The 26,808-nt window shown below is 37.8% G+C and overlaps 1 protein-coding gene and 1 pseudogene across 4 annotated transcripts in view, besides 3 other annotated features; one reads left to right on the forward strand and one right to left on the reverse strand.

Moving 5' to 3' along the window:
* The window catches only part of STX18 (syntaxin 18), a 123,376-nt gene that overhangs the window by 64,332 nt on the left and 32,236 nt on the right, over window positions 1-26,808 (reverse strand). The window lies entirely within an intron of this gene.
* Window positions 5,195-5,314: a silencer, noted in NCBI's record as "silent region_15214". NCBI's record gives its function as "represses an Ori minimal core promoter by ATAC-STARR-seq in GM12878 lymphoblastoid cells {active_cell/tissue: GM12878}" and the evidence as "EXISTENCE:reporter gene assay evidence [ECO:0000049][PMID:35858748]".
* Window positions 6,822-7,001: an enhancer, noted in NCBI's record as "active region_21228". NCBI's record gives its function as "activates an Ori minimal core promoter by ATAC-STARR-seq in GM12878 lymphoblastoid cells {active_cell/tissue: GM12878}" and the evidence as "EXISTENCE:reporter gene assay evidence [ECO:0000049][PMID:35858748]".
* On the forward strand, window positions 23,746-24,517 carry RPS7P15 (ribosomal protein S7 pseudogene 15; annotated as a pseudogene).
* Window positions 24,746-24,835: an enhancer, noted in NCBI's record as "active region_21229". NCBI's record gives its function as "activates an Ori minimal core promoter by ATAC-STARR-seq in GM12878 lymphoblastoid cells {active_cell/tissue: GM12878}" and the evidence as "EXISTENCE:reporter gene assay evidence [ECO:0000049][PMID:35858748]".

The following is a 26,808-nucleotide window of genomic DNA, read 5'->3' on the forward strand; positions in this document are numbered from 1 at the left end:
CTCATGATTTAATTTCAAAAGTTGAGTGGCACCTTATAATGCTTAAGATTCCCATTAAACTCAATGCAACTTCCATTTTAAAAGACTTCTAGGACTCTTACACCCATAGAAAAAAACAAATGTTTATTATGCACTCAACTCTTCCTCCTCACTCCTTCCAGCCCCAACTTACTAACTTCAATCTAATTAAACATCTTCATTCCCATTCTTCTAGTTCCCCAAACTACAATTATTTGGCATTACTGAACACATTCCCACTATTTCTGAAGCTCTGTCCACTCCCGGTTTACCTGACCTTACTATTTGCCTAGAACAGGCTAGATGACACACAGAGCAGTGACTACCTCCCTGCTTGGATGGTTAAGACTAGCAAGGATCTAGAAGACACCTGCTTTGCCAAAAGAGCAGCATGATAGGGCACCCACTGCCTCTCCCTGGCCATCCATTTCACCTCAGACAGTAAAAAGTTCTTTCTTACTCTGAATCGAGGTCAGCTACTGTGATCTACTCCACCTGAGTCTTCTCTCTTCTCCAAGCTAATCATTCCCAATCCTCTCAGGAATTTTTTTTTTCCTTTTTGAGACAGAGTGTCGCTCCTGTTGCCCAGGCTGGAGTGCAGTGGCATGATCTCAGCTCACTGCAACCTCCACCTCCCAGGTTCAAGTGATTCTCCTGCCTCAGCCTCCCGAGTAGCTGGGACTACAGGTGCGTGCCACCATGCCCAGCTAATTTTTTTGTATTTTTAGTAGAGATGGGGTTTCACCATGTTAGCCAGGATGGTCTTGATCTCCTGACCTCGTGATCCGCCCGCCTTGGCCTCCCAAAGTGCTGGGATTACAGGTGTGAGCCACCGTGCCCGGCCCCTTCCTCTCAGGAATTTTTTATATGAAATACATCTGCGGCTTCTGGCCATACTTACTACCTCTGAAAATAGTTCATGGGCCTCCCAAATAAAATACAGTTTCCAGAATAGAATCAATACTCTCTGTGTCAGCAGAAAGTGCAGAGGAAAACAGAACCATTGCTTCCCTTGTTCCAGACTCTGGGCTTCTAGTAATGCCACTTAAGGGCATGCTCACCTTCATGTCACTGAGTCGAGCTGAATTTACATCGACTAAAATGACTTTTTCCATGAGTGCTGCTGATAAACTAGGTCTTCATTATATGCACATTTTTCCTGGCCTCCTGTCATTTGCAATTCTGATCATTATGCCATTAAAGACATCTATAATGAAAAATCATCATTCAAAAAATGAGATGAAAATGGGATATAAAAAGTAACAAAGAACCGGAGACCCCTCCCTGTAGACAGCCAGCTCAACTAGTCACGAACACCCTAAGGGTCTATTTTAAAAACATTTCCTCCACAAAAACATCACGGAGAGGCTTTGCTAACTACTGCCGTCTAAAAACAAATATTCTCCTCCCCTACCTGCCTAACAACCCAATCCAAAACTACACAATAGGCTGGAAAGACATGGCTCAGGCTTCTGAATCCCTGCCGGTTAATAATGACTACTTTCTTTTCTGTGTGCTTGGAAAACTTTCTTTCATTTGTTCACTTGACAAATATGTAAGACCCAGCATGGGCCAGGCACATTAAGGACGGAGGTAATAAAGAAAAGAGGAAGGGAGGAGGGAGAACAGAACAAGAAGTTCCAACCCAAGGATCCGACCCAACTTCGCACTGCTTTGCGTTTCAATCCAAACCCCATCTGGTCTGGAGGCTGTGTGTGGAGAGTGTGCATGCATGCTGCATTCTTCTGAGTCTCCATACTGCAAAGGATGAAACCAGGTAAAACAGACCTGGGTTCAGATCCCAGCTCTGCCACTTACTAGTGACATGGCTTTGTGTCACTTAACCTCTTCCAGCCTTCATCTCTGAGGTATAAACTTGAGACAGTAATAATGCTGAAGGTGACTACAGGTCACTGATGAAAATAATGTCTGTGAAGAGTCTGACACTGTGTCTGGCACACAGTAGGTGCTCAACTACTCTAAGTTTTCTTCTTCATTTCATCACTATTTCAGTCTCACCCATAGGGCAAGGTGAACTTTAGTGCATAAGGTGAAAAGCATACACAATTCAAATGACAATTTTAAAAGGCCACAAGGCCACTCTGGACTTCAACACATTCTTGCAATGGGTTCAAACCAGCCAGTGCCCCCAGCCCAGTGTTGGAAAAGACTGCCATTTCTTCAGTTGTGAATCAGAGGAAGTGGCTGGTTTGAGTTTAGGAGACATGATGACAGTGAAAATGCTAGACTCGCAGGCAGTAAGCAAGATACTCTTAGTAGAAGAGGCCCTAGGGAACAAAACCAATGATGGGAACGGCAGATTCGCAAGCCCCATCTCACCCTCACCCCAGAGCTCACACACGCTGGGTGGACGGCAGGCACTGCTGAAACAGGCATTTCTTTTCTGCCAAGCACACATAGATAACCTCCTACCATTAGGTTTCTGTGGGATGCACCTACAGCGTGCAGCCTGTCCCTGCCCTGTCCCCTATGCGCTCTCCTCCGTATCTTTTCTCCTGCTCCCAAAGCTCTCCTTTTTCTCGATGCTACTGGTACTTTCCTGCACGGAACAGTCTTTGACTCACCACACACTTTTTCTGGGATCACTGCTTATACTAGAATTCCATGAGCAGCCTATATCCTTTGCTCTCTTAGAAGTACGAGTGGTGGATGGTCAGCACGCAGGCAGAGGGCGGGGACAGCGCCTCCAGGCACATGGTAACTCCCAGCTGGTTCTCTGACTTTGGAGTCACCGGGTGATGTGCAATTCCTCACTTGTGTGCTTTGAAGGTTGCATGGAAAGAACCCCCAAATGCTTTCCAGCTCAGAAATTCCAAGATAATTTTTGGGTGTTCAATCAATTTGAAAGCTCCTACCACCAACCCCGTCAGTTTCTTTCTACTTTTATGCTTTCCAAAGCTTCCAAAATCATTCTAAGGCTCCAGGTACATTTGGGATTCTAGTTACTGAGGTTATCAGACTTAGGGCATTTCAGCTGCAGAACTTTGGAAAGTCTGCTCATAAGAAATCAGAAATGTCATTCACATGTCAATAAGATGGAGGTAAAATAGACAAGAAAAGAATTACCTTGACAATTCATAACAGACAACGAATGTGGATACATTATAAATGTTTTTGAGTGAATATGCAACAAAAATGATCACCGCAAACACTATTATAGTACTTACTATATGCCAAGAAGAATTGTAAGGGCTTTTTACAGATTATTGCATTTAATCCTCATTATAAACTTAGGAGGCAGGTACCCCTAGGATTCCTCTTTTACAGAGAAGAGAGGCCAAGTTAACTGGCTTGAGGACTCATTAGGAAGTGTCGGAGCTGTATTTGAAATTAGGTCTACTCCATAGCCTGTATTCTTAACTTTTCCTTGCTCTTAAAATTCTTCAGAACCTTGACAAGAGGGGCGAGAGGAAAAAACATTTTACTCATATTTGAGTTCCTCAAAATATCAACTCTATCTTTAAAATTATTTACATATCTTCAAAAACAAATAGTGCAAAATTCATATTTGAGTTTCACTTTCTAAGAGGGGACTATATTTTAAATTTCTCCAGTGGCCTTACACAGAGTCACGAACATCTAAAGTATAGTTCTTGACCTTTTTAGGGGCACAGATGCCTTTGAGATACTGACAAAAGCTATGAATCTGATCTCTTCTATAAAAGAAATAAACATATACACAAAAACAAAAAACTTTCTGCCTGTCATTTTGAGCTTCAGAGGCTTTTGGTTCATGGAGCTCAGGTTAAGTGCCTCTGATTGTAAACACTGTTCAACACACACACACACACGAGACACACGAGGGTACACTCTTTCTGTAAACATCATCTGCATAAGGAAGAACTTTGAACTTTCTAGCTCAGCACCCGCAGACATCTGCTGGCCATCAGTGGGGGTTTGTCTGCATGGTCACACTAAGCAGGGATCTGGGGCCTGCAGGTGGTGGGGAGACTGAGTGCACCATGAGAACCACCTACACTGAATCATCCAAATCATCATCATAATAAACTTCCAAATCATCATCATAATAAATCATATTGAACATTTAGTGTTTCCTATGTGTCGGACACCATGTTAAACCCATTGTATAGACTATCTCATTGAATCCTCACAACAAATGAGAAAACAGATGAGTACACTTGCCCAAAGGCACACACCTGGCAAGTTGAAAAGCCAGGGTCCATACTCTGGAATAGACTCTAAGCCTGTGCTCTTAAATTCTTCACTCTATGCCTCCAAACTTGGGCTCTCCGAGGATAAAACTCAGTGAAGAACGAAACCAAAGAGGTGTTACCTGCAGCCTTCTGTCGCCTCCCCCCTGCCAAACCCATGAAAACAAACCCATCAATTTTATTTAGCAGTTTCTTCAAAAGCATTTGCTAAATGTCAGAAAATATTAAGCAAAAAAATGTATTTATACCCCAACATAATACATCCCACATCCCAGGAATACGCTCACTCTTTTTGTGTTGAAGAATTTTAAAACTTTAAAAAATTCTAAGTCCAAAAAGAACTATGTCTTCTTCACTTTGGATTCCCAAAGCCTGGCATAGTTCCTAGCTCAACAAATGTCTAGGAACATTCAACAAACGAAGAGGTGATACATTTTATCAAGAATTTGACATTCTAAAATAAATATCAAGGAATGGCTGTACCTAAAATTTGTGGTCATGATGTGTTAAAAGTTGTTTTTTTTTTAAATGTGGAATTGTTTCATCTAATTTTTGCAAATATTTTAGTACACTCAAAAGGCATATAGTCTCTATGACAAGCAGGTAACAATTTATGACCTACAGTTTATAATCAGCAGCAACTCCTCCTCTCGTGAGGTGAACAGATTAGCAGCATAGTATAAAGTTTGTGGCAACAAACAGGTTCTATCCAAAGCCGTCTCTTACTACCGAGGTTGAACATAAGCACTCAAAAACACAAAATTCCCAAAGACTAAATACTACCCTACTGACATTTAAAAAAAAAAGTTTTGTTTGAATTATAATATCAGCTTATAAGAATGTGGAGATGTCAAGCACCAGTACATACACCTATAGAAGTGCGAAAACTACAAAGAAAACCGACATATCTCACAACTACTCCCAATCTCATTCTCCTGGGGTCCTAGCGCTACTTAAAAATATGTGCTAGGACGATTAAAAATCACTTATTTGCAAGACAAGGGCAAGAGTTACATCAATGTAGACGAAATCTCCTACACAGCCCATCAAGTATGGGTCCCATCCACTAGGTGGTGCTCTCCACCACACTGTTCCTCAGTGAGCAGTACAGTACATCAAAATGACAACAGCCTAGTTTTAAGATGATTTGTCTCTTGAGGATATACATTTGGTTTAAGTTTCTACTGCAAAGTTAAAGTTCTTAAGATAGGTCATGCAGACCAATTGCTCCTGTAATCTGAAACTCAAAAGAGCAAGTAATATCTAAACAAGGGGAGGGGGTGGCCCTGAGCTTATAAGGGTCTCTAAGAGCCAGGAGACAGTCAGCCTGGCTACCTCTAATCTCACCATCAAAACTGTTACCTTGTTCATTTTCTGCTTCACATCAGCAAAGAGAATAGCAAAAGCAACTTCAAGCGGCCCATAGCAAGAACATACATTCAACATCCATTCTGCTTGTCAGATGTCAATAATTTAATCTCAACTGCTTTGTTATCATTCAAACCCCAAAAGTAGAAATGTTTTTGCTTTACTCAAACTGATTTTTTTTCTCTTTTAGCAAAAACAAAAGCAAAGGAATGAATGTTCATTTTATCTCAAAGTTCTGAGAAAGAGGGTTTGGTAACAAGATATATGTCCTTGCCTCCAAAGTCATCTTTCAACTAAGTGAATGGGAATAAAATGCAGAGTATGCTGGCCTTGACCAATAATACAAATGTCCAAATTCCAAGCAAAGTCCAGGGTCTTGCTTCATCATTCCCTGTCCTCAAAAATATACAGATCCCTTTTTTCCTTTTTCCTATAATGAGGAAAGTCATTATGATCGTCTTTGGAGTGAACAAGGCAAGAAACTCAAAGCACTTCAATACACATGCAAAATAATTTTTTTTTTTTTTTTTTTTTTTTTTTTTTTTTTTTTTGGTAGAGACGAGGTCTTGCCATGTTGCCCAGGCTGGTCTCAGACTCCTGGGCTCAAGCAATCTGCCTGCCTCAGCCTCCCAAAGTGCTGGGATTATAGGCATGAGCCACCACACCCGGCCAGAAAATATTATTTCAAGAGATAAGTTACAGAACTTTCTAACATCTTCTTTGTTTGGAAATAAATGAAAAGGTAAAACTTAGTGGTTTCTAGAATTTAAAGAAACTAGCAAATTGCCAACAGCTTAGTTTTACAAAATGAGGGCTCAACTGCTAAAAATGGATTGCTCCTTAAGTGTACAAAGTAACACAAAATAATCACTCCGTAACATAACATTTGCCGGAAAAAAATGTGTGAAAACTACTAGAAAAATAATAGTTAGGTCCTGAGCAGTATATTAAAGATCTTGATTTTGAGACTCAAATTATATCTTTTCATTCTACATGAGTTCTTACTTTCTTTGGACAAAAAATTTAAGGTCCTGTATCTGAATTCAGCTCAGTGTGAAAGCTTTAAATGTAAAACTAGTATATGCAATTTAAATCCCCTTTAACAGTTTTTCAGACAATTAATTAGGTAAAGCATTTGAAACACCATACATACAAAAAATTTTCATTCATATTGCAATGAATTTCACTCAAAATCACATATCGAACTGTAATAAATTTACAATAAAAATGTAACACTAACTGCCCCCCACAAATACATATACACTTTTAAGAGATACACAGTCATGTACCTAAGAAAGGAAAGTAAAACTTGACAATGTTCAAGAAATCTTTCGAAAGCTCTACAGCATTAGTCAGCATTATCTGATCAAATATTAGCATGACCACTATTTTCAAAAGGGCCCATATGTAACAATAGCCAAAGGGGCATCTTCCTAAACTTACAGTATTACTCTAATAGAACAGACAAATTTCCTTAAGAATTGGAGTTGTACTGAACACAAAATGCCGATTTGCAATTATGAGGTCAATCTCATAACAATGAGATTTAAAACAAATTTCAGATTACGGTTTTAAATTTCTATTCATTCTCTATACAGTGGTATATTTCAATAATTACATAAACTGAAACGTTTTCCCTCCTATTTTTTCTCCAAAAGGTTCTCTACAGATGCTTACTTCGTAAAATGCAGCTTAAAATTTATTGGAAACTAAGAATTTTTTTACATGGAATCTATAAATACATGCATAATTTCTGTGCCCATAATTGGAAAAGGGCACAGAGGCTCCTATAACAATCACTAAGGAAGCTCTTAAAAACAAAAAACTTCATCCATGTTCAGGCTGAAGAATTCACATTTAACCTTTATTTTAAATTACAGCCAAAGTCTTTGTTTCAAATCCACATAAATCACTGTTCTTCTCTCTGCAAATACATTTTAGAGAAAACATTATTTAATGTTACATCTGACTTTAATAGAGTTTCCCATTTGCTTTTGCATGTTTATTATCAAACTCTAATCATGACATTTCCAAACTTATTTATACTTTCACACAAACTTCCGAAGTTTTCCCAACTTAAATAAAAACCCACAAAAACTGTGGGAAATGTTTTGCTTGAAAGATAAAAGCAACGTGGTCCAAATGTACATTTGTAATAATCAGTGTTTACTTTTGTTGTTCAAACATTCGGCTTATAGCACTTTCAATATACGCATTCAACTTAATTTTCTTGTCTCTTAAAAAAAAAAAAAGAAGGAAAGTGTTTTCTTTCCCTGTTTTGCTCTCAAAATATAAACTCATTTAATGCAAAGCATTCCCGGATCAGGCATGTTTTAAACTACGAGCACGTCTAGCCTCAACAGCATTCATCCATATTATATACAAAATGCCATTTCTTTCAAAACTTCAGTCTGGACATTTTATAAATCTAATTTCACTTTTCCTAAAAACATGAGGATATTTTACTATATAAGGCTCAATTAAAGTTTTAGTAAATAAAAATAACAAAAGAAATGATACCATAATACTAACGTAGGAAAAAGGATATATATTAATTTCATTTACTGAAAACGTTGAGGGTTTTTTCCTTGAAGTGTCTCTACTATAGATTTTACACTACATTTATTAAAATATGACAAACCTTTAACCTGGGAACAATTTACCAGTTAACATCATCTACCGAAAGAGGAAGTATACTTTGGGTAAGTAAGACACTGGAAACGATTTATGCTGCCTTTTTTCAAAGCTGCTTAGAAAATGGCTATGTACTTTTAAAAAATAATCATTAAAAACAGTCTAACGGTTGTCTTGTGATATCGTTGATCACAAGCCTAGTGATGCCACCTAATTCTAAAGACTGAAATGTGCCTCTCAAAGGGATCTAGCGCAGCCACAGTGTAATATACGTTAAAGGTAATGAAACTAAAAAGTAAGATTTCCTAATAGAATGAACATATTTTAAAGTTTTTATGATTGACAAAAGACTTCTTTTTTTAGCCATTAAAAAACTAAAAGTATCCTGACAAGAGATTCTGGTTTTGAAGTATGTCACACTCCGGTTACCCAGCCATGAATCTCAGTTCATTTTTTAAAATGAGGTCTATTTCCTGTAATTTTAGATATTTTAGAGTACAATTATTTTACATTTTTATGATGCCTTTGGGGTATCATTACAAATATTTTTATGTGTTTAAACTTAGGAAAGAAAAATTAAGTAATAGCTTCTCTTATAGGGAGCTGTCAACTCTCTCCTGGACAAAAATCTTTGTTTTAAAGCAATCTAGAGATTTATATCCCTAGTAACCATAGAAATTAATCTTAAGCTTTAGAAAAAAATTGCATAAAATGCTCTTTATTTAATTAAAATCAGAGCTCATTCTTAGAAATAAGAACCTTCTTTCGAACAGAAAGAATTTTCCACAGAGTATAGGTGGTACTCTTTGTGATAAATGAATCACGCACATTTAATTGACTTTTGAATTGTGTGCATAGAAAGTTAAGTACTTTGTTGGAAAGGATTCGCTCAGGGACTATATTCACTGAAAACTTTTCATAAGAAAAGAAAGTGAAACACAGGATTCAAACAGTGTTTGTAGATTATCTGAGTGTGAGCAAGAAAAAAAGCATAAAGAAAAGCATTTGACAATAACAATTAGGAGAATCACTCATGGGGAGGTCACTTTGTTTTTATTAGGAAACTGAAAATATTTTTCAGCGTGCCTTAGTATGACGATGCATCAACACATCATAAATCAAATTTCATTTTGTGATGACTATCACTTTCTATTTCACATGCATTAAAAAAGAGACATGTTCTGAATTCTGCTTATCACCATATGACTAAGAAGTTTATTTCAGATTTAGAAACCAGTCGAGGATGTCTGGGGCAGTCAACAATGCTCTGCTTAGCCACTCTCTTCCCTAGTAGTCTGAAAAAAATGTGTGCATTTAAGAGATGGTAATAACAAACTCCTCAAATATTTTTAAAATGTCAAAGTTTTTAAGGCTTATAAAATTCAGATTCTGGGCAAATCTGTGTACTTCCAAATTTAACTTACATGAGATTTAAAATTCATGGCTTCAGATTTTTCTCTGCATAATAAATAATTTTAAAAGTTATTCACATTCTGATTCCATTATATTTTTAAAAACCCACTTATTTGGAAAAAAAGATATTGCTGATCATGTCATACAATATTAAATATCCATAAAGTGCTCAGAAAGTGTACTGTAAACACCAAGTAAAGTCAAACTGCAAATATTTCTGCTTTCAGACAATCAAAGTCTTTGGAGAGGCCTGAAATAGGTGTTTCTCTACACACATTTAGGCACCACTAAAAATGCTAAACATTATCATTTTCTCTAAGCAACCCCAATTTTTGGAAAAGGCACAGGCATTCCCAACCCCCCCGCCCCCTCCACTGCCCATGGTTAATTTCATAGTCCTACAAAGAGAAAATTTACTAGGCACTTCAGGGAATCAAGACATCGTGGTACACGTAATGAGTTGCAGAAAGAGACAGAAAGTGATTAGGAATTGTAAATAGTAAGAATAGGTAGTTTCCACTGTATTTAATTGACACCACAGCATATTCACCTGGTAGTTCTAAAAATGATTCCTCTATGATTAAAAAAAATTGTTTTTGTTTAGGTGGGAGAAATATTGATTCAAATGACGCATCTTATTATCTTCATTGTAGGCTGCACACTTCCACAGCAATTGGTCCTCCAAGTAAACAGTACCTATCATGAATTTTCACTTTTAATTCAAATTATAATAATCAATGATACTAGAAGTCTAAATCTATACTAAAGCATCAATAGAAAATATTGTTAATAATGGTTTTAAAATAAGCGCAAAGCATAATGCTGTTTTGAAGTTTTTACAGTATGCTTAGAAAAACAAAATGTAGGTGTTCTACTAGAAATGTAGCTGGAATATCTTCATTCCCCTCTGTTTTTAACCTTATACATGCAAGAAATTATGAAGATACAACAGCCTCATTTTCATGGGAAAACAGAACTGGAAAGAGGTTCGTGGGCTTTCAATCACATGTGGTTTGAATGTCTTTAACTCTTTTCCCTCTCATGCAAGAAAAGTCAACAAGGTAAATATATGTTATTTTTCAGTACCTCCATAAGCCCATATCCCATGGTGGTATCCTTTAGGATTTTATCTCAAAGTCTTACACTGGGGTCAGGTAAGCTAGGCCTACAAAATTGTTTTGAGGGTTACATAACATATACATGAGCACACTGAAGTGATAGAGAAGACAAATGCTACGAAGTAAAAACTGATAATGATCACAGCACCAAGAAAGTATTTATTAACTATTTGTACACTACATATTGTACAGTACATATATTTGGGCTCACAGTGTACCCTTGGTCAAGTTCCTTCTCCAGGCTTCAATCCTTGCTAATAAAATGAAGAGACTGCATTCCCTGATCCCTAAGGTCTAGTCCAGCTCCCCAAATTCCCTGGCTTCTTGCATTTGACTGAAGACTGAACAGCATACTTTCAAGTGATTTTTCATATCCAAGTCTCGGTGCTGTGCTTCACTTACAAGGCAATGGATTTAGCATTCATTTCTGATGACTACATTACAGAGCATATTCCATATTTCATTGAATCTTCACAAAAGTCCTCTAATATTATCACTTCTCCCATTTTATAGGTAAGAACAGTGTGGCTCAGATATGTTAGAGTTGCTATTTAATCCTAGATCTCTCTTATTAACTATCCTTGTTCTTCCCCTGATGCAAAAATAACAATATATTGAATCACATGCTGAGGAATTAACAATCAAGCTCCAGGTTACCTGTAAAATGCTTTGCGCAGGTTACATACAGGTGGGAAGCATCTCCCTGTCTCCATGGTGCCTGTCTTACAGAGCTAAACCAAAAAGCTGTGTGTCCTTAATTGCAAAAGGTCATTAGGAGCCCCACGTGTGCCAAGAAATCAAGGAAAGAAGAGATTACAAAGGTCTAGAAAACAGAGAGAGAGTGACTTTTAACCTGAAAGCAGGAGAAGAGGGAAGATCTGATTGGTCTCATGTAGGGCCCTGTAAAAATTATTTATCCCTTCCCCACCCTGCTCCATAAGGCCCCTGGATGATTCTAATGTACAATCAGGGTTGAGAACCACTGATGTAGGAGCCAGAGGAAAGAGGTTGAGCATGGACTTTGGAATCAGACTGCCTGGATCTAATGCAGGCTGACATTCATGAATTATACAGCATTCCAAACTTACTTAACCTGTCTTTGCCTCAGTTTCCTCACTTGTAAAATAGGAAAGATATAGTACATGCCTCAGAGTGTGTGTGAGGATGAAATGCAAAGGGCCTAGAAAAGTGCCTGGCATATATAAGTTCTAGGCTAATATTGGAAGACCTCAAATGTCTAGTGAAGGATTTCTGTAAGCCAACAATGTTAAAATGTTCTCTTACAAATGATGGGGACGCAAGATGGCAGCTTTTCTTCTTTCTTTCCTGTCTTTCTTCTCTCTCTCTTTCTCTCTTTCTTTCTGAGACAAGGTCTTCCTCCATCACCCATGCTGCTGTGCTGTGACATGATCATACCTCAATGCAGCCTCAAACTTCTAGGCTCAAGCAACCCATCTGCCTCAGCCTCCCAAGTAACTGGGACTACAGGCACGCGTGTCTGGCTAATTTTTTTTCTTTTCTTTTTTTTTTTTTTTTTTTGAGAGACGAGGTCTTGCTATGTTGCCCATGCTGGTCTCAAACTCCTGGCCTCTAGAGATCCTCCTGCCTTGGCTTGCTTTCTTTTATATTTAAATTGTACAACTAAACGCAAAAACAAAGATAATCTTGTATTAGTCCACCTCCAGCACCTCCCCCAGACCAAATTTTTAAACAGGAAAATGATCTAATAAAATTCATTTTTAGGCAAATGAATTTTGTTGAGTAAACTCAAACAAGTTTTTAATCCTAGTGCAAAGAAATGGAACAAGTTAAAATGCAAAATAGAATAGCAGAGCAGTGGTACTATCTGTCCATATTCACATTACAGGCTCTAAAAATTATTCATGTTTGAAATACTGGGAAGGTGAATAAGAGCATCTATGATTATCGGATAACGCAATTTTTTAATCCTATAGTTGAACTATATTTCCTCAAGTAATGTACCTTCATTAAGACACGTTAAACTTTCCATATACACTTTCAAAAATGAGATTTCTCTTTTTATAAATTCTTTACATTTCCAAGAGAAAGGTAAAGCAAACAATCTAAGATCCTCCATTTAAAAATGAAGAAACTGAGTGTCAGAGGGACTTGCCAAAGCTGCCAATAAGCGAGATGAACACTGATTTCTTAAATAGCAACGCCAGTGGTAAGGTAACAGAGAGGCCTAGGCAGCAGGATGAACTGGCACCCAAAAATCGCTGAGGCTCTCACAACTTGATAATCCCCCATCTCCAAACACAGTCCAGTGAGATCCTGTGTCTTGGTTATGAGAACAACCTCACAGCTGATCACTGTCTCCTGCTGAACCACTGCAGCCAACCCGCCATCAAGTCCTCCAGCTTCTACATCTTTAAGGGCTCCTAAATTCACCCCCTTTCGCTCACCCCATCAGCCTCGCTCTTGGATTCCTCACTTGTGGCCCTGTCTTTGCAGTCTCTACCCTTTCTAATGCAACATCCACTCTCCCACACCACCCACTGAGCTTACCCAAGCCTTTGCGCTAAGGAGGAAAAGCTGAGGCCTAACATATTTGTGCTATTTTATAATCAGGAGCTTCTGCATGTCATTCTTCAGCCTTGGATGGTGCTGCCCAATCCAACTGTGGGTAGAAAGGTTGACATCTTCTCTCTAATCCTTTCTATGCTAAACAGCTGTCTCACCATGAGTTTGGAGAAAAAATTACCACCAGTCATGTTACACTATGGTGTCATGCAGGAGACTAAAATTCAGTAAGCTTTAAGCACTTAGGATGCAAAAAAGAACAGATGCCTGAAATAACTACATGATATGCATGGGAAGCAGCGACTTACACACCCTTTCAAGGAGGTGGGGAGAACTCCTTCATAAGGCCAGGACAAACTAGCCTGCATCTAAAGAAGACTTAAGTAGAGTGCCTAGACAATGTCAGGGTGGGCTTCCTCATGTTTTACGCGAAACAAACCCCACAAAGCCAGCGTTTCAACCAGAGCAGTTTGTGAGGATGATGGCTCCGAATCTAGGCCCTGGATTGGCTCTACTGGCCCACGGTGGACACTGTCCAGGCTCCCCCTCCGGCTCCAGGGCCAGGCGAGGGCAAGAAAAGATGACTCACACACTCCCCAGTACAAGGTCTCCTTGGTATGGGGTCAGGATAGCTCGACCTCCAATTTGCTCTCAGAGGCACAGGCTGAATTCCCAGGATTACTGGACAATATGCCAAGGAGGAGCACAGACTTCTGTTTTCTAAAATGCTTATAATGCACCATCAGGGCAGAAAAACCAGGGGGAGAAATGTACTTAATCATCACTGACTGATCAGGCCCTGGAACTAGAACATGTTACTTTATTACAACATGTGATTAAAACCGAAAACAGCAATGAATTAACTAAATGTCTATTCACTCATTCAATATCACTTACGTAACGCTATGCACCAGAGTTTTATACTGTCCTACAAACATTAACTCATTTAATTCTCATTAATGACCTAATAAGATTGTCATTATTTTATACATGAGAAAACTGATTATCCTGGTTTTACATAGGAGAAAACTGAGGCCCATAAAGGTTAAGCACTGTGCTCAATATCCCTCAGCTAGTACATAGCAGAACTGGATTAAAACCCAGTTAATCTGTCTCTAGAATCTTTACACCTAATTACTGTCCATATTGCCTACCATGTTATCACTACCTTAAATACAAATAAGGTCTGCCAGTAAAAAAATGTGTTCGCCGATCCTCAGGATCACCTTGTCCTATTTTCCTGAGATATATCAACTGTATTTAGAATAAAATTTGTCTTGTTCCTGCAGAGGTAAACTAACATCAACTTTACCTTCCAAGACACAAGAATGTAAGGAGGTAATATGCCTCTGTCCAGAGAGAATGTATTCACAGGTGCCTCCGTCTAAGGTCTATGGTCTGTCAAAGAAAGGGATGATTACCAATTCATGTAAGTGGGCGATGTTGTGTTTTCCTTCGTACTAAAAACAGTCACATAAGACTTTAATAACGGTATTAATTAGGAAATTCAAACTAAGTCATCCTTTTCTAGATAAGGGGAATTCTTGTTCCACAGACACTCAGTGCATACTGTTTCTCATAAAGAAAAACTTACAACTCATGTATGTATGTCTTCCCTAAAGTTGAGGGCTTTTTTTCTTTTTAGATTTTTTTTTTCCCTGAAGGGAGGCACTCCCAGCAAAAAGAAGCAAGTAGATTTGCAGTGACTTTTCTTCGCAAAATAGTACTGCATAATAAGATCAATGATGATAATATACCCCCCAAAATAATATTACTGCCAATATATCAGAAAGGTGTCCCTATTAGACTTACTATATCTTAAAACACTAAATTAGAACACAGTAGCACTGGTGGTTTTTGTTTGTTTTGTATCTTCAATCCTCAGCCCAATGACTGGCACATAATAGGTACTCCATTAATATTTACTGAATAAGTAAATTAAAGTAAGCACCTGTGTTTGGATTATCTATATCATTGCTCCAATCCAAAATCAAAGACTTCATTATCTCTCCAAGGAGAATAGTTTTGTGATACTAATTCGCTGGTGTACAAACACTATTGTCAGAGCAAAACTATCAACTAATACAAAATAGGCAGTCAGGACATTTAAGGAGCATAATAAAAAATAGATTATATTCATGTAAGCATAAATCAAATAGCAAAGCAGTTTAAGTTTTAAGAAAAAGATCTAGGTTTTTTTATTTGATAAAAAGAGAGAGAAAGATGTGGACAACGAAAGAAACTAAACACTAGGAAGAATACAGAATTTCTTTCTCTGAAGGTCTTTAGAATAAGTAAGACATCACCTGTTTCACAGAATTTAGGGTTATTTTTGCAAGAAGACAAAGTTCACCTAGATAGCATATACTAGCTCTAGAATTCCTTGGTTATGGCATATGAAACAAAATATACAACTAAGCCAAACCAGCAAATGAAGAAGCTGAAAGTGCCACTTCTTAGGAGAGGAATAACAATTTGAGGCTATCATGAATTTACATAAGACAAACATTTCAAAAATTTATCCTAGTGCCTAACAAACTTTCCTTAAAAGATCTTTTCTTTCAAATTAAAAACAGTAGCTTTATTAATGCACAACCCATTTCAAATTTGAAACACAACTCTAAACCGTACCTTGTGGAATGGAAAGCCATAATTGTAATGTGGAATGAGACCAACTGAAATCAATACAAGAAATTTGAAGTAAGTAAATACTTTTTTTCCTGGGGGTAGTATAAAATGTATGAAATTACAGTAGTAAGAAGTTATTAATCTGAAATTATAAAGTGGAATGGAGGACTTCAAAATATTCAAAGATTTTTCAAAGATTCTGAAAGCAAAGAAAACCATACTGTGCTCTGGAAAAACTTACCTTTTAGAAAAACAGCATTTCATATGCACAGATGCTTGCCCACGTTGTACTGCAAAGAAACAGCAAAATGGATCCCAGCAAGCCTAGCACTGATTAAAGCTGCATTTTCAGATTCATAGGTATTCACTGACTGGCTTCTACACAAACATTCATTATTCAATAGCTAATCCAACTTAATCATTAAACCTGAACCAGGTGAGAACAGGAACTGTCAAGTTACTTACACAATAGAACATTCTATCAACGAGATTTATGAAAACTTCAACAATCACTGGGCAAAAAATCACTAGTAGCAGAATGTTATCTTCAGGTCAGAGGAACTAACTAGTAGGCACTCCAAACTGCTTGCTAAATAAAAGAATAAAAGAATGTGCGTTCAGTGGGGGGAAATGGCTTTTCAAATCGACTTTTTTTTTTTCAAATAAAATGACTGCTGTTTAAAACAGTTATTTGTGGATTTGACCCAACTGCTCATGTTCCAAATGGGTCACTGTCCCTGACCACTGGGATCCTCACCATGGGGGCAGAGGTGAGGCAGCTGTGTGTGACTATCCCAGCACAGGCATCAGGGACTATTTGTCTATGATCCTATCTTCAATGGGATTTTTAGAGTTTTCTATCACTTGGTGTTAAAAAAAAATTTAGCTCTTCAATTCTTATTTTCTCCAACCTTATTTTCTGCTTATAGTGGAGAGTTTACGAGATATGCAAAATATAAGGAGGAAAATAAAATCAGTCCATAATAACATCACCTAGAAAGAAACTCTTTTATCACTGTAATAATATATGCTTTTCCATTTTATGCACATAACTTGACCCTGTGTATCCATGGGTTCCACACCCACATCCGTGGATTCAACCAACCATGGACGGAAAATATTTTTTTAAAAAGGATGCTGCACCTGTACTGAACATGTGCAGATTTTTTTCTTGTTACTATTCTCTAACCAAAACAGTATAACAACTATTTACATAGTACATACATTGTATTGGGTTTTATAAGTAATCCAGAGAAATAAACAGGAGGATGTCTGTAGGTTATACACAAATACTGCACCTTTTTACCAGCAACCTGAGCATCCACAGAGTTTGGTATCCAGAGGGAGTCCTGAAACCAATCCCCTGAGGATACCAAGGGATGACCATATAGCCCTCATATAAGTTAAACCATATTATATGTAATTCCTGTATTCTACTTACTTTACTCAACACCATGAGTACATGTAATTACAAATTCTTCTAAAAAATTACCTTCAATGGCTACATAACATTTCATTGCTTAAATTTACCATAATTTGGCCAGGCACGGTGGCTCACACCTGTAATCCCAGCACTTTGGGAGGCCAAGGTGGGTGGATCACCTGAGGTCAGGAGTTCAAGACCAGGCTGACCAACATGGTGAAACCCTGTCTCTACTAAAAAATACAAAAATTAGCTGGGCGTGGTGGCGGGCGCCTATACCCTCAGCTACTCGGGAGGCTGAAGCAGGAGAATTGCTAGAACCTAGGAGAAGGAGGTAGCAGTGAGCCGAGATGGCGCCATTGCACTCCAGCTGGGGCCAACAACAGCAAGACTCCATATCAAAAAAAATAAAGTAAAATAAAAAATTTACCATAATGTAACAATTTCTCTGTTGTTGGACACCTAGTTTGTTTCTTCTAATTTTTCACAAGGACAAATTATGCTGTAATGAACATCTTTTTGCTAAACTATACCAGAGTATTTTTGTTCACTGAACCTGTGTCTGATTTTGTCATTCCTTAACATAACAGCTTTAAAAAGGAGTTACAAAGTTAAAAGTTAGGAGCATTTCTAAAATATAGCCACATTTTTGCGACATGGTTCCTCATTCTGTTTGCCTCACAGCACCCCTCCCAGCCTCCTAGGCAGGCAGGCCACACTCCAGGACCATTGCTGCCACCTCTCTCTCACTGTCGGTCAGAATGACTGCATTTTAAAAACAGTAAACAACATGATTATTCTAATGCAATTAAACCCAATTCTTTCACTCGTTAGTGATTATTTTGTGAGGGAAAATCTATATGAGGGAAAATAAGACCTCAGTTTCCTCATCTGGAAAATGAGGGGAGTCACACTACATGACCTCTCAGACTGTTTTGCGTTCTAACATTTTATGATTCTTATCTTTTGCTGTGGAGACACCGAGTGTTTGGGATCACAGGACACTAACAGAATAACAAAATGTAACCTATTCACTTAAAGCTGTTCAGCTGTTATTTAATCTTGCTTCTCTGGAAGCAGATCATGAACAATAACTCGGCAAATTGGAAATACTTAAATACGAATGCCATACTGTTTTATAAAAAGAAAGATAACATTTACTTCTGGTATTTAAATACATAACCCAGTTTTTGATTCTCAATTCAGGCTCCATAAAACCAGATGCCACAGCTGGAAATTCTGATTCAAACTTGTAACTTCACAGAAAACCAGATGCTATATTAAAGATAAGGTTTCCTGGAGAAGTATAGCATTTTAAAAGGCAACTGAAAATCTGTATTAGATTTTCTCAGAAAAACAGAAAGCTCCAGGATACTCCTAAGCATTAAGAACCTGCACATTAATGGAAAGATGAAGCTGCCAATCTGCAGTTAATATGTCTAAACAGCATAGAACATACTCATTTGATGTACACACAAAGACCTCTATTAGGTGTAATATACCTAAAAGTATCTGCCAGATACCTCGAAAGCACTATAGGCAAAAGGGAAACAAATGACAGCACTTTTTTTTAATTTGGTGAAAATTACATTAGTATAAAATGTACCAAAACCACCCTAACATTGTTTTAGTAAAGAATTTGAGTGGAACCTTCTTATTACCTGAAAAACAGTAAAAATTACCTAAAACAATGTAATTGGGAAAACAGAGAAAAAGAATTTAGGGAAATGGGCAGTGTTACTAAGTTAGCAAGAAGCTAGGAGTCAATAAAAACTGTCCTTGTAAAAGAATATTTCTGTTCTTGAAAATTCATGGCATAAAAGACTACTCAAGGATAAAACTTTTCCTTTTATATCTTTTCAAATGAAACTGAAAAGGTTCACAGGTTTGGAGTCAAATTTTACATAAAAAGTTTTTCCCTGTATTCATTATCAGTGAAAAAAAAATATTGAGTTCTTACTGGATGCCTTGAGTTGAGGAAACTGTGTTGAAGAAAAAAAAATACACAGCTCTTTGCCCTGTTGTAGCTCTCAGCAGCAGTCCACACAACGGAGGGATGGGTATCCCTGGAAGTGGAGGCTGAATTGCTAAGGTGTGTGTGCAGCACATGTAATTTCAAGGGAACTGATGTCTAGGTCCCTAACCTTCATCTGTCTTCCTATGCAGATCTGCATGAGAATCTGCCATGACACACACTTCATCGGCTCTACTTTCCCACATGCCCGATGCAATCTCCTCCTACTTCAGAAAACACAGAGTTCTCACCAAACCCAACCCCACTATGCTGCGCTGTCCCGGATATAAAAACCTCAAACAAAACAACGCTCAGAAATCCTGGGGAAGCTGAGAACGTGAATGACTCTAATGACTGGACAACAGAGCCTCTCACAAGTCAAGGGCTCCCAATTTTTTTCCATCCAACAAAATTAATAGAGAATCTAACTGAGTTGTCGTCTGGCAGGTCACTAAAAAAAGTTAATGACAGTTTCGGCATGTAATTCAGAGGAAGTTCCAAGAACTGCGTGGGGTGGCAGTGCCCTAACAAAAGCTCCCTTCTTATCTCCTTGTTTATGTAAATGAGGGTTCTCAGCTCTTAACGTCACTAAGAAATGAAAGTTAAGAATGAAATTGATATTAAACCTTGTCAGATTCTTTAAAAAAGTAATATTCATCTACTTGCACACAACATCAGTAGAAAAAACTAAACCTATGCATCACCTTGAGAGGCTCTTCTGATAAAATAGTGTATTTTTATTGTTGTTGTTTAATCCACACACACTAGTAATAATTACAAAGGTAACTCAACACAGAACTCAACATACAACACTTAGAGACTTTCAGTCTTCACTGGAAATTTTTTTAAAAATTAAATTTCAATTTGCATATCTATTTCTGTCGCACAGAACTATGATAAAATGATCAATAAAAGATTTCTGGGTCACAGGAGCACCAAAATCTCAGAAATCACCACTAAAGAACTTATCCACGTAACCAAAACAACCTGTTCCCCAAAAATTACTGAAATAAAAATTTTAAAAATATTTCCAAGCATAAACCGGGATAGGATATTATGTGGGGAAAGTGAAATGGAAATGTGAGTTCAAGGAGGAAAAGGTTGTAAAATTGATGACTGTAAAGTTTTTTGAGAATGTTTTTTTCAACAAATGATGGTGGATATCAAATATGGTATTCAGATTCCATGAGATATATTTAAAAGAGTGATAAAAACTTCCACTTTAAAATGTCAAGTTTTATAGCACACTGAAAACTATATCCTTTGCAATTATTTAAACTTACGATAAAGAATTATAGATGTCAGATTAATAGATACATATGAGCGGTTACTCAGTTTTTTTCAAAATTCTTTTAGGGGATACATGAATAAAAATGTGTAAAGGTCACTGACTTACACATCTGGTAGGGAGAAAAACACTAAACACGTATTTACAAATAAAATTCTATGAAGCAAAAACATAAGCATACCATGAGAGCTGCCTGAAACAGAGGAACAGCGTTTGTAAAGGCTGTGAGGTGGAGGAGAACATAAAATGTTCAAGGAATCAAGCTGGATCATGCCATGCTTTCTAATCTAGAGTAGAGATTACTTATTTTTTTTTCTAAAGAGATACCTGGAAGGGAGTGTTTTAATCAGGAAAATGATCTATTCAGATTTACTTCTTATGTATTTATTATCTCTCAGAAAAAATCTGTTGCTTATCAGTAAAAACAGGGAATTCATTCATTCATTCATCCATCAAATCTTAACTGAATATCTGTTTTGTGCCAGACTTTATTAGGCACTCAGGATACAGGAGTACACAGACAATAAAGCTCTGATACCTCTCGAAACTTAGCAAGAAGTATTTACTTTCAGAGAAGGAAAAGTGAAGTTAAATGGGAGACTAAGAGAAAATATTTGCAAATTATACACATGACAAAGGACTTGTTGTTCAGAATGTATAAAGTACTCTCAAAGTCAAAACTAAGAAAACAAAAAACTAAATTAAAAATAGGCAAAAGACTTGAACAGACACTTCACTAAAGAAGGCAAGGGGGGCACATGAAAGATGTTTGGCTTCATTAGCTATTAGAGAAATGCTAATTAACAATGATGTATCACTACACACCTATTAAAATAGCTGAAATAAAAAATACTAAAAATACCAAGTGTTGGTGAGAATGTGAAATAACTAGAATTCTCATACATTGTTGGTGGGAGCACAAAATTGTACAGCCACTTTAGAAAATAAGTAGCTGTTTAAAAAAAAAATAGTAGCCTTATTGAGCCCTAATTCACATAGCAAACAATTCATCCATTTAAATTGTGCAATTCCATGGTTTTTAGTGTATTTGAAAGTTGTGCAATCATATTTCCACAATCTGTTTTAGAACATTTTCATCACCCCCAAAATCCCATACCCATTAGTGGTCACTCCCCATTTCCCCCAACACCCCCAGTGCTGGGCAACCGATTTACTTTCTGACTCTATGGATTTGCCTGTTCTGGACATTTCATATACAGCAGTTCCTTCACTTACCGTGGGGTTATGTCCCAATAAATCCATAATAAATTGAAAATATGGGAAGTCAAAAATGCATTTAATACACCTAACCTACCAAACATCATAGCTTAGCCTTGCCTACCTTAAGTGTGCTCAGTACACTTACAGATGTATTTACCTACAGTTGAACAAAATCATATCCAAAGAATGCTGGCAACACAGTACACTGCAAAGTATGGGTTGTTTACCCTCATAATTGCATGGCTGACTGAGAGCTGATGTCGAGCATCAAGAGGGAGTGTCATACCGCACATTGCTAGCCTGGGAAAAGATCAAAATCCAAAACTCGAAGTATGGGGATGGGTGTGGTGGCTCACGCCTGCAATCCCAGCACTCTGGGAGGCCGAGGCAGGCGGATCACTTGAGGCCAGGTGTTCGAGACCAGCCTGGCCAACACGGCGAAACTCCATCTCTGCTAAAAATAAAAAAAAAAAAAAAATCAGCCAGGCATGGTGGTGCACATCTGTAATCCCAGCTACTCAGGAGGCTGAGGCATGACAATCACTTGAACCTGGGAGGTGGAGGTTGCAGTGATCTGACATCAAGCACTGCACTCCAGCCTGGGTGACAGAGACTCTGTCTCAAAAAACAAAAACAAAAACGAAAAATCGAAGTATGGTTTCTACTGAATGCTTATCACTTTTGCAGCACTGTGAAAGTTGAAAAATCATGTCCTGAACCTTAGTAAGTCGGAGACCATGTGTAAATGGACTTATGCAATAAGTGGCCCTTTGTGCCTGTTTTTTAATTTAACTTAGCATATTTTCAAGGTTTATCCATATTGTAGCAGGTACCAGTACTTCATTTTTTATTGCCAAATAATATTCCATTGTATGGATATACATTTTATTTATCCATTCATCAGTTGATGAATACTCAGATTGTTTTCACTACTTGAGTATTATGAATGATGCCGCTATGAACATTTGTGTACAGGCAGTTTCTTATACCATTAAACATACACTCACCAGATAACTTAGGAATCCCCTAGGTATTTGCCCTAGAGAAATGAAAATGTATGCTCATGCAAAAATCTGTATACAAACATTTGTAGCAGTTCTATTCATAATTGTCAAAAACTAGATACAACACAAATGTCCTTCAACAGGTGATAGATAATTGTAGTAACTTCATGTAACGGATACTACTTAGTAATAAAGAAGGAACTATTGATACACACACATCTAGAATCAACCTTAAAGGCATTATGCCGACTAAAAGAAGTCAGTTTCAAAGGGTATATATGATCTCATTTATATGATGTTATTGAAAAGACAAAATTATAGCAATGGAGAACCGTTTGTGGGTTCACGGGAGTGGGTGTGACCACAAACGGACAGCATGGGAGTTTCTGAAGGGAGATGGAACTGTTCTGCATCCTAATAGGGAAATGGCTATACAAAACACACATACACACACAGGGAGAGAGTACAAGACCCCCCGTGGATGCCTGAAACCAAGGATAGCATTGAACTCTATAGATACTATGTTTTTTCTATACATACATACCTATGATAAAGTTTAATTTACAAATTAGGTAGAGTTAGAGAATAAATGCAATAATAATAAAATAGAAGAATTCTCACAAGTTATGTGAATGTGGTCTCTTTCTCTCCAAGTATCTTATTGTACTGTACTCACCTTTCTTTTTGTGATGAAGTGAGAGGATAAAATTCGAACCACAGTTGACCATGAGTAACTGAAACTGGAAAATTAAACTGTGGATAACATGGGGGATGGGACTATTGTACATAAAATGCTAAAATTCAGAGAACTGTATTAGCAAAAAGGTCAAGCTTACTGTATGCTAATCTACAAATAACACTTAAATTTTTAAAAAGCAGCTCTTCCTAAGCCAGTGCTCAGCAAGGAGAAGGCCATGTTCAGTTGGAGCGCCAAGATCGTGAAGCCCAATGGCAAGAAGCCAGGTGAGTTCCAAAGAATGCTAGCAACACAGTACAAGACGGCATGACACTCCCTCTTGATGCTCAGCAGCAGCTCTCAGTCAGCCATGCAATTATGAGGGTAAACAACCCATACTTTACAGTGTACTATAAAGAGTCCGGCATCTCCCAGGCTCTTCTGGAGCTGGAAAAGAACTCGGACCTCAAGGCTCAGCTCACAGAGCTGAATATTATGGCAGCCAAGGAAATTGAAGTTGGTGGTGGTCAGAAAGCTATCACAATCTTTGTTCCCGTTCCTCCACTGAAATCTTTCCAGAAAATCCAAGTCCGGCTAGTATGCGAACTGGAGAAAAAGTTCAGTGGAAAGCATATTATCTTTATCGCTCAGAGGAGAATTCTGCCTAAGCCAATTCGAAAAAGCCGCACAAAAAATAAGCAAAAGCGTCCCAGGAGTGCACTCTGACAGCTGTGCACGACGCAAGCCTTGAGGACTTGATCTTCCCAAGCGAAATTGTGGGCAAGAGAATTCACGTGAACTGGATGGCAGCCGGCTCATAAAGGTTCGTTTGGACAAAGCCCAGCAGAACAACGTGGAACACAGACTGAAACTTTTTCTGGTGTCTCTAAGAAGCTCACGGGCAAGGATGTTAATTTTGAATTCCCAGAGTTTCAATTGTAAACAAAAATGACTAAATAAAATATATTCACAGTAAAAAAAAAAAAAAAAAAAAAAGTTAAAAAGCGGCAGCTAGCTAGAAAAATATACGAGTTTCCTAGTCCCTTATGTTCTAGCCTAGAAAGGAAGCATTCCGTATTTACTGCCTGCTTACCACTGATCGGTCACCATGCCACAGAGGCGACCTCAGAACAAATGACCTTGGCTATCCTAACACAAAAGTAAAAGGTATTCTGAGTCCAATTATAGGATGTTTTTAACTTCAACACTAGCTGGCCTTCCATCACTGCTCAGGAGAATTATTAATCACTATTAAATAAAATGGATCATGGCTGACACTCCCCCTAGTGCACAGGACACTGAAGTGCCCGTGTGAAAAGCACCTGCTTTTAGGACTTCAACTTAGGGCTCATATCTGAAACCACTGTTACTTTGTTTTTGTTTTTTGTCTGTTCATGGTGTCTTAAGTATGTCATATGTGGACCTCACCACATATCCCCCGTTTTTGCTTCTCTAGAATACAACAACCTATCTCTTTGAACTGTCCCTTCTTGCCTCCCATTTATGGCATATATCCTATATTTCACTTGAGAGGATCCCAAAAATCTGGTGAAAATCTTGTTTTTTTTTGTGTGTTGCACAAAGATTATATATAAAATATACATGAGAAGTTTGTTACTTGGAGACCAGGAGTGCCAGATTCTAAAATGTCAGGATTATTTTGAAGTTAACAAGAAGGAGCTGCTGTGTAACAACAAACAATTTTTTTTCTTCAACTTTTATTTTAAGTTCTGGGGTACATGCGCAGGATGTGCAGGTTTGTTACATAGGTAAACATGTGCCGTGGTGGTTTGCTGCACAGATCATCCCATCACCTAGGTGTTAAGCCCAGCATCCATTAACTACTCTTCCTGATGCTCTCCCTCTCCCTAGTCCCCACTTCGACAGTCCCCAGTGAGTGTTGCTCCCCCACCATGTGTCCATGTGTTCTCATCATTCAGCTCCCACTTATAAGTGAGAACAGGCAGTGTTATAAGGTTTTCTGTTCTTGTGTCAGTTTGCTGAGGATAATGGCTTCCAACTCCATCCATGTCCCTGCAAAGGACATGATCGTGTTCCTTTTTATGGCTGCATAGTATTTCATGGTGTATATGTACTGCATTTTCTCTAGCCAGTCTATCATTGATGGGCATTTAGGTTGATTCCATGTCTTTGCTATTGTGAATAGTGCTGCAGTGAATGTATGCATGCATGTATCTTTACAACAGAATGATTTATATTTCTTTGGATAGATACCCACTAATGGGATTGCTAGGTCAAATGGTATTTCTGCCTCTAGTTATTTGAAGAATTGCCACTGTCTTCCACAATGGTTGAACTAATTTACACTCCCACCAACACTGTAAAAGCATTCCTTTTTGTCTGCAACCTCACCAACATCTGTTGTTTTTTGGCTTTTTAGTAATCGCCATTCTAACTGGCATGAGATGGTATCTCATTGTGGTTTTGATTTGCATTTCTCTAATGATCAGTGATGCTGAGCTTTTTTTCATATGTTTGCTGGCTGCATGTATATCTTCTTTTGAGAAGTGTCTGTTCATGTCCTTTGCCCACTTTTTAAAGGGTTTTTTTTTTCTTGTAAATTTGTTTAAGTTCCTTGTGGACTCTGGATATTAGACCCTTGCCAGGTGGATAGATTACGAAAATTTTCACCCATTCTTGTGACAAAAAGGCTGTCTTGTAACAAAAATTTAACTTGGAGTCGAAAGACCCTAATTTAAATGATCATGGGTTTTGGTTACAATCCAGCCATATTTTAGACAAATAATAATAAGTATAATCAATATATTAAAATCAATAATAAGTGTGTTAACAAAGTATGGTAAGTGGTGAAAGTGTTACGGGACAAAAAGCAAAAGTAATGCAAAGTAAGGGAAATCTAGGAAGAGTGTAGGGAAAAAGGTGAATTCTAATTTTCAACAGGGTGGTCAGGATGAACTTACTGAAAAGATGACATATAAGAAAATGTTTGAAGGAGAAGTAAAAGTTATGCAGGCAGGTATCTCCAGGCAAATACTTAGGGAAAATCATTCCAAGGAGAGGAAACAATAAGTACAAAGGCCCTAAGACAGGTGTGTATCAAGCATGCGTGAAGAACAGCAAGGAGACTGACTGTCTATTAGATACTCAGGTAACAGAAATAATGTCAGGTAGGTAGACAACTATAGATGTTTCTAAGTGTAGGGTTTCAAAGAGGTCTGACCTGGAAATATAAATCTGGGAGTTTCTGGACTACAGAGAATATTTAGAACTAGGGGGCTGCAGGA

This window comes from Homo sapiens, chromosome 4, assembly GCF_000001405.40.
Source record: "Homo sapiens chromosome 4, GRCh38.p14 Primary Assembly".
NCBI lineage: Eukaryota > Metazoa > Chordata > Mammalia > Primates > Hominidae > Homo > Homo sapiens.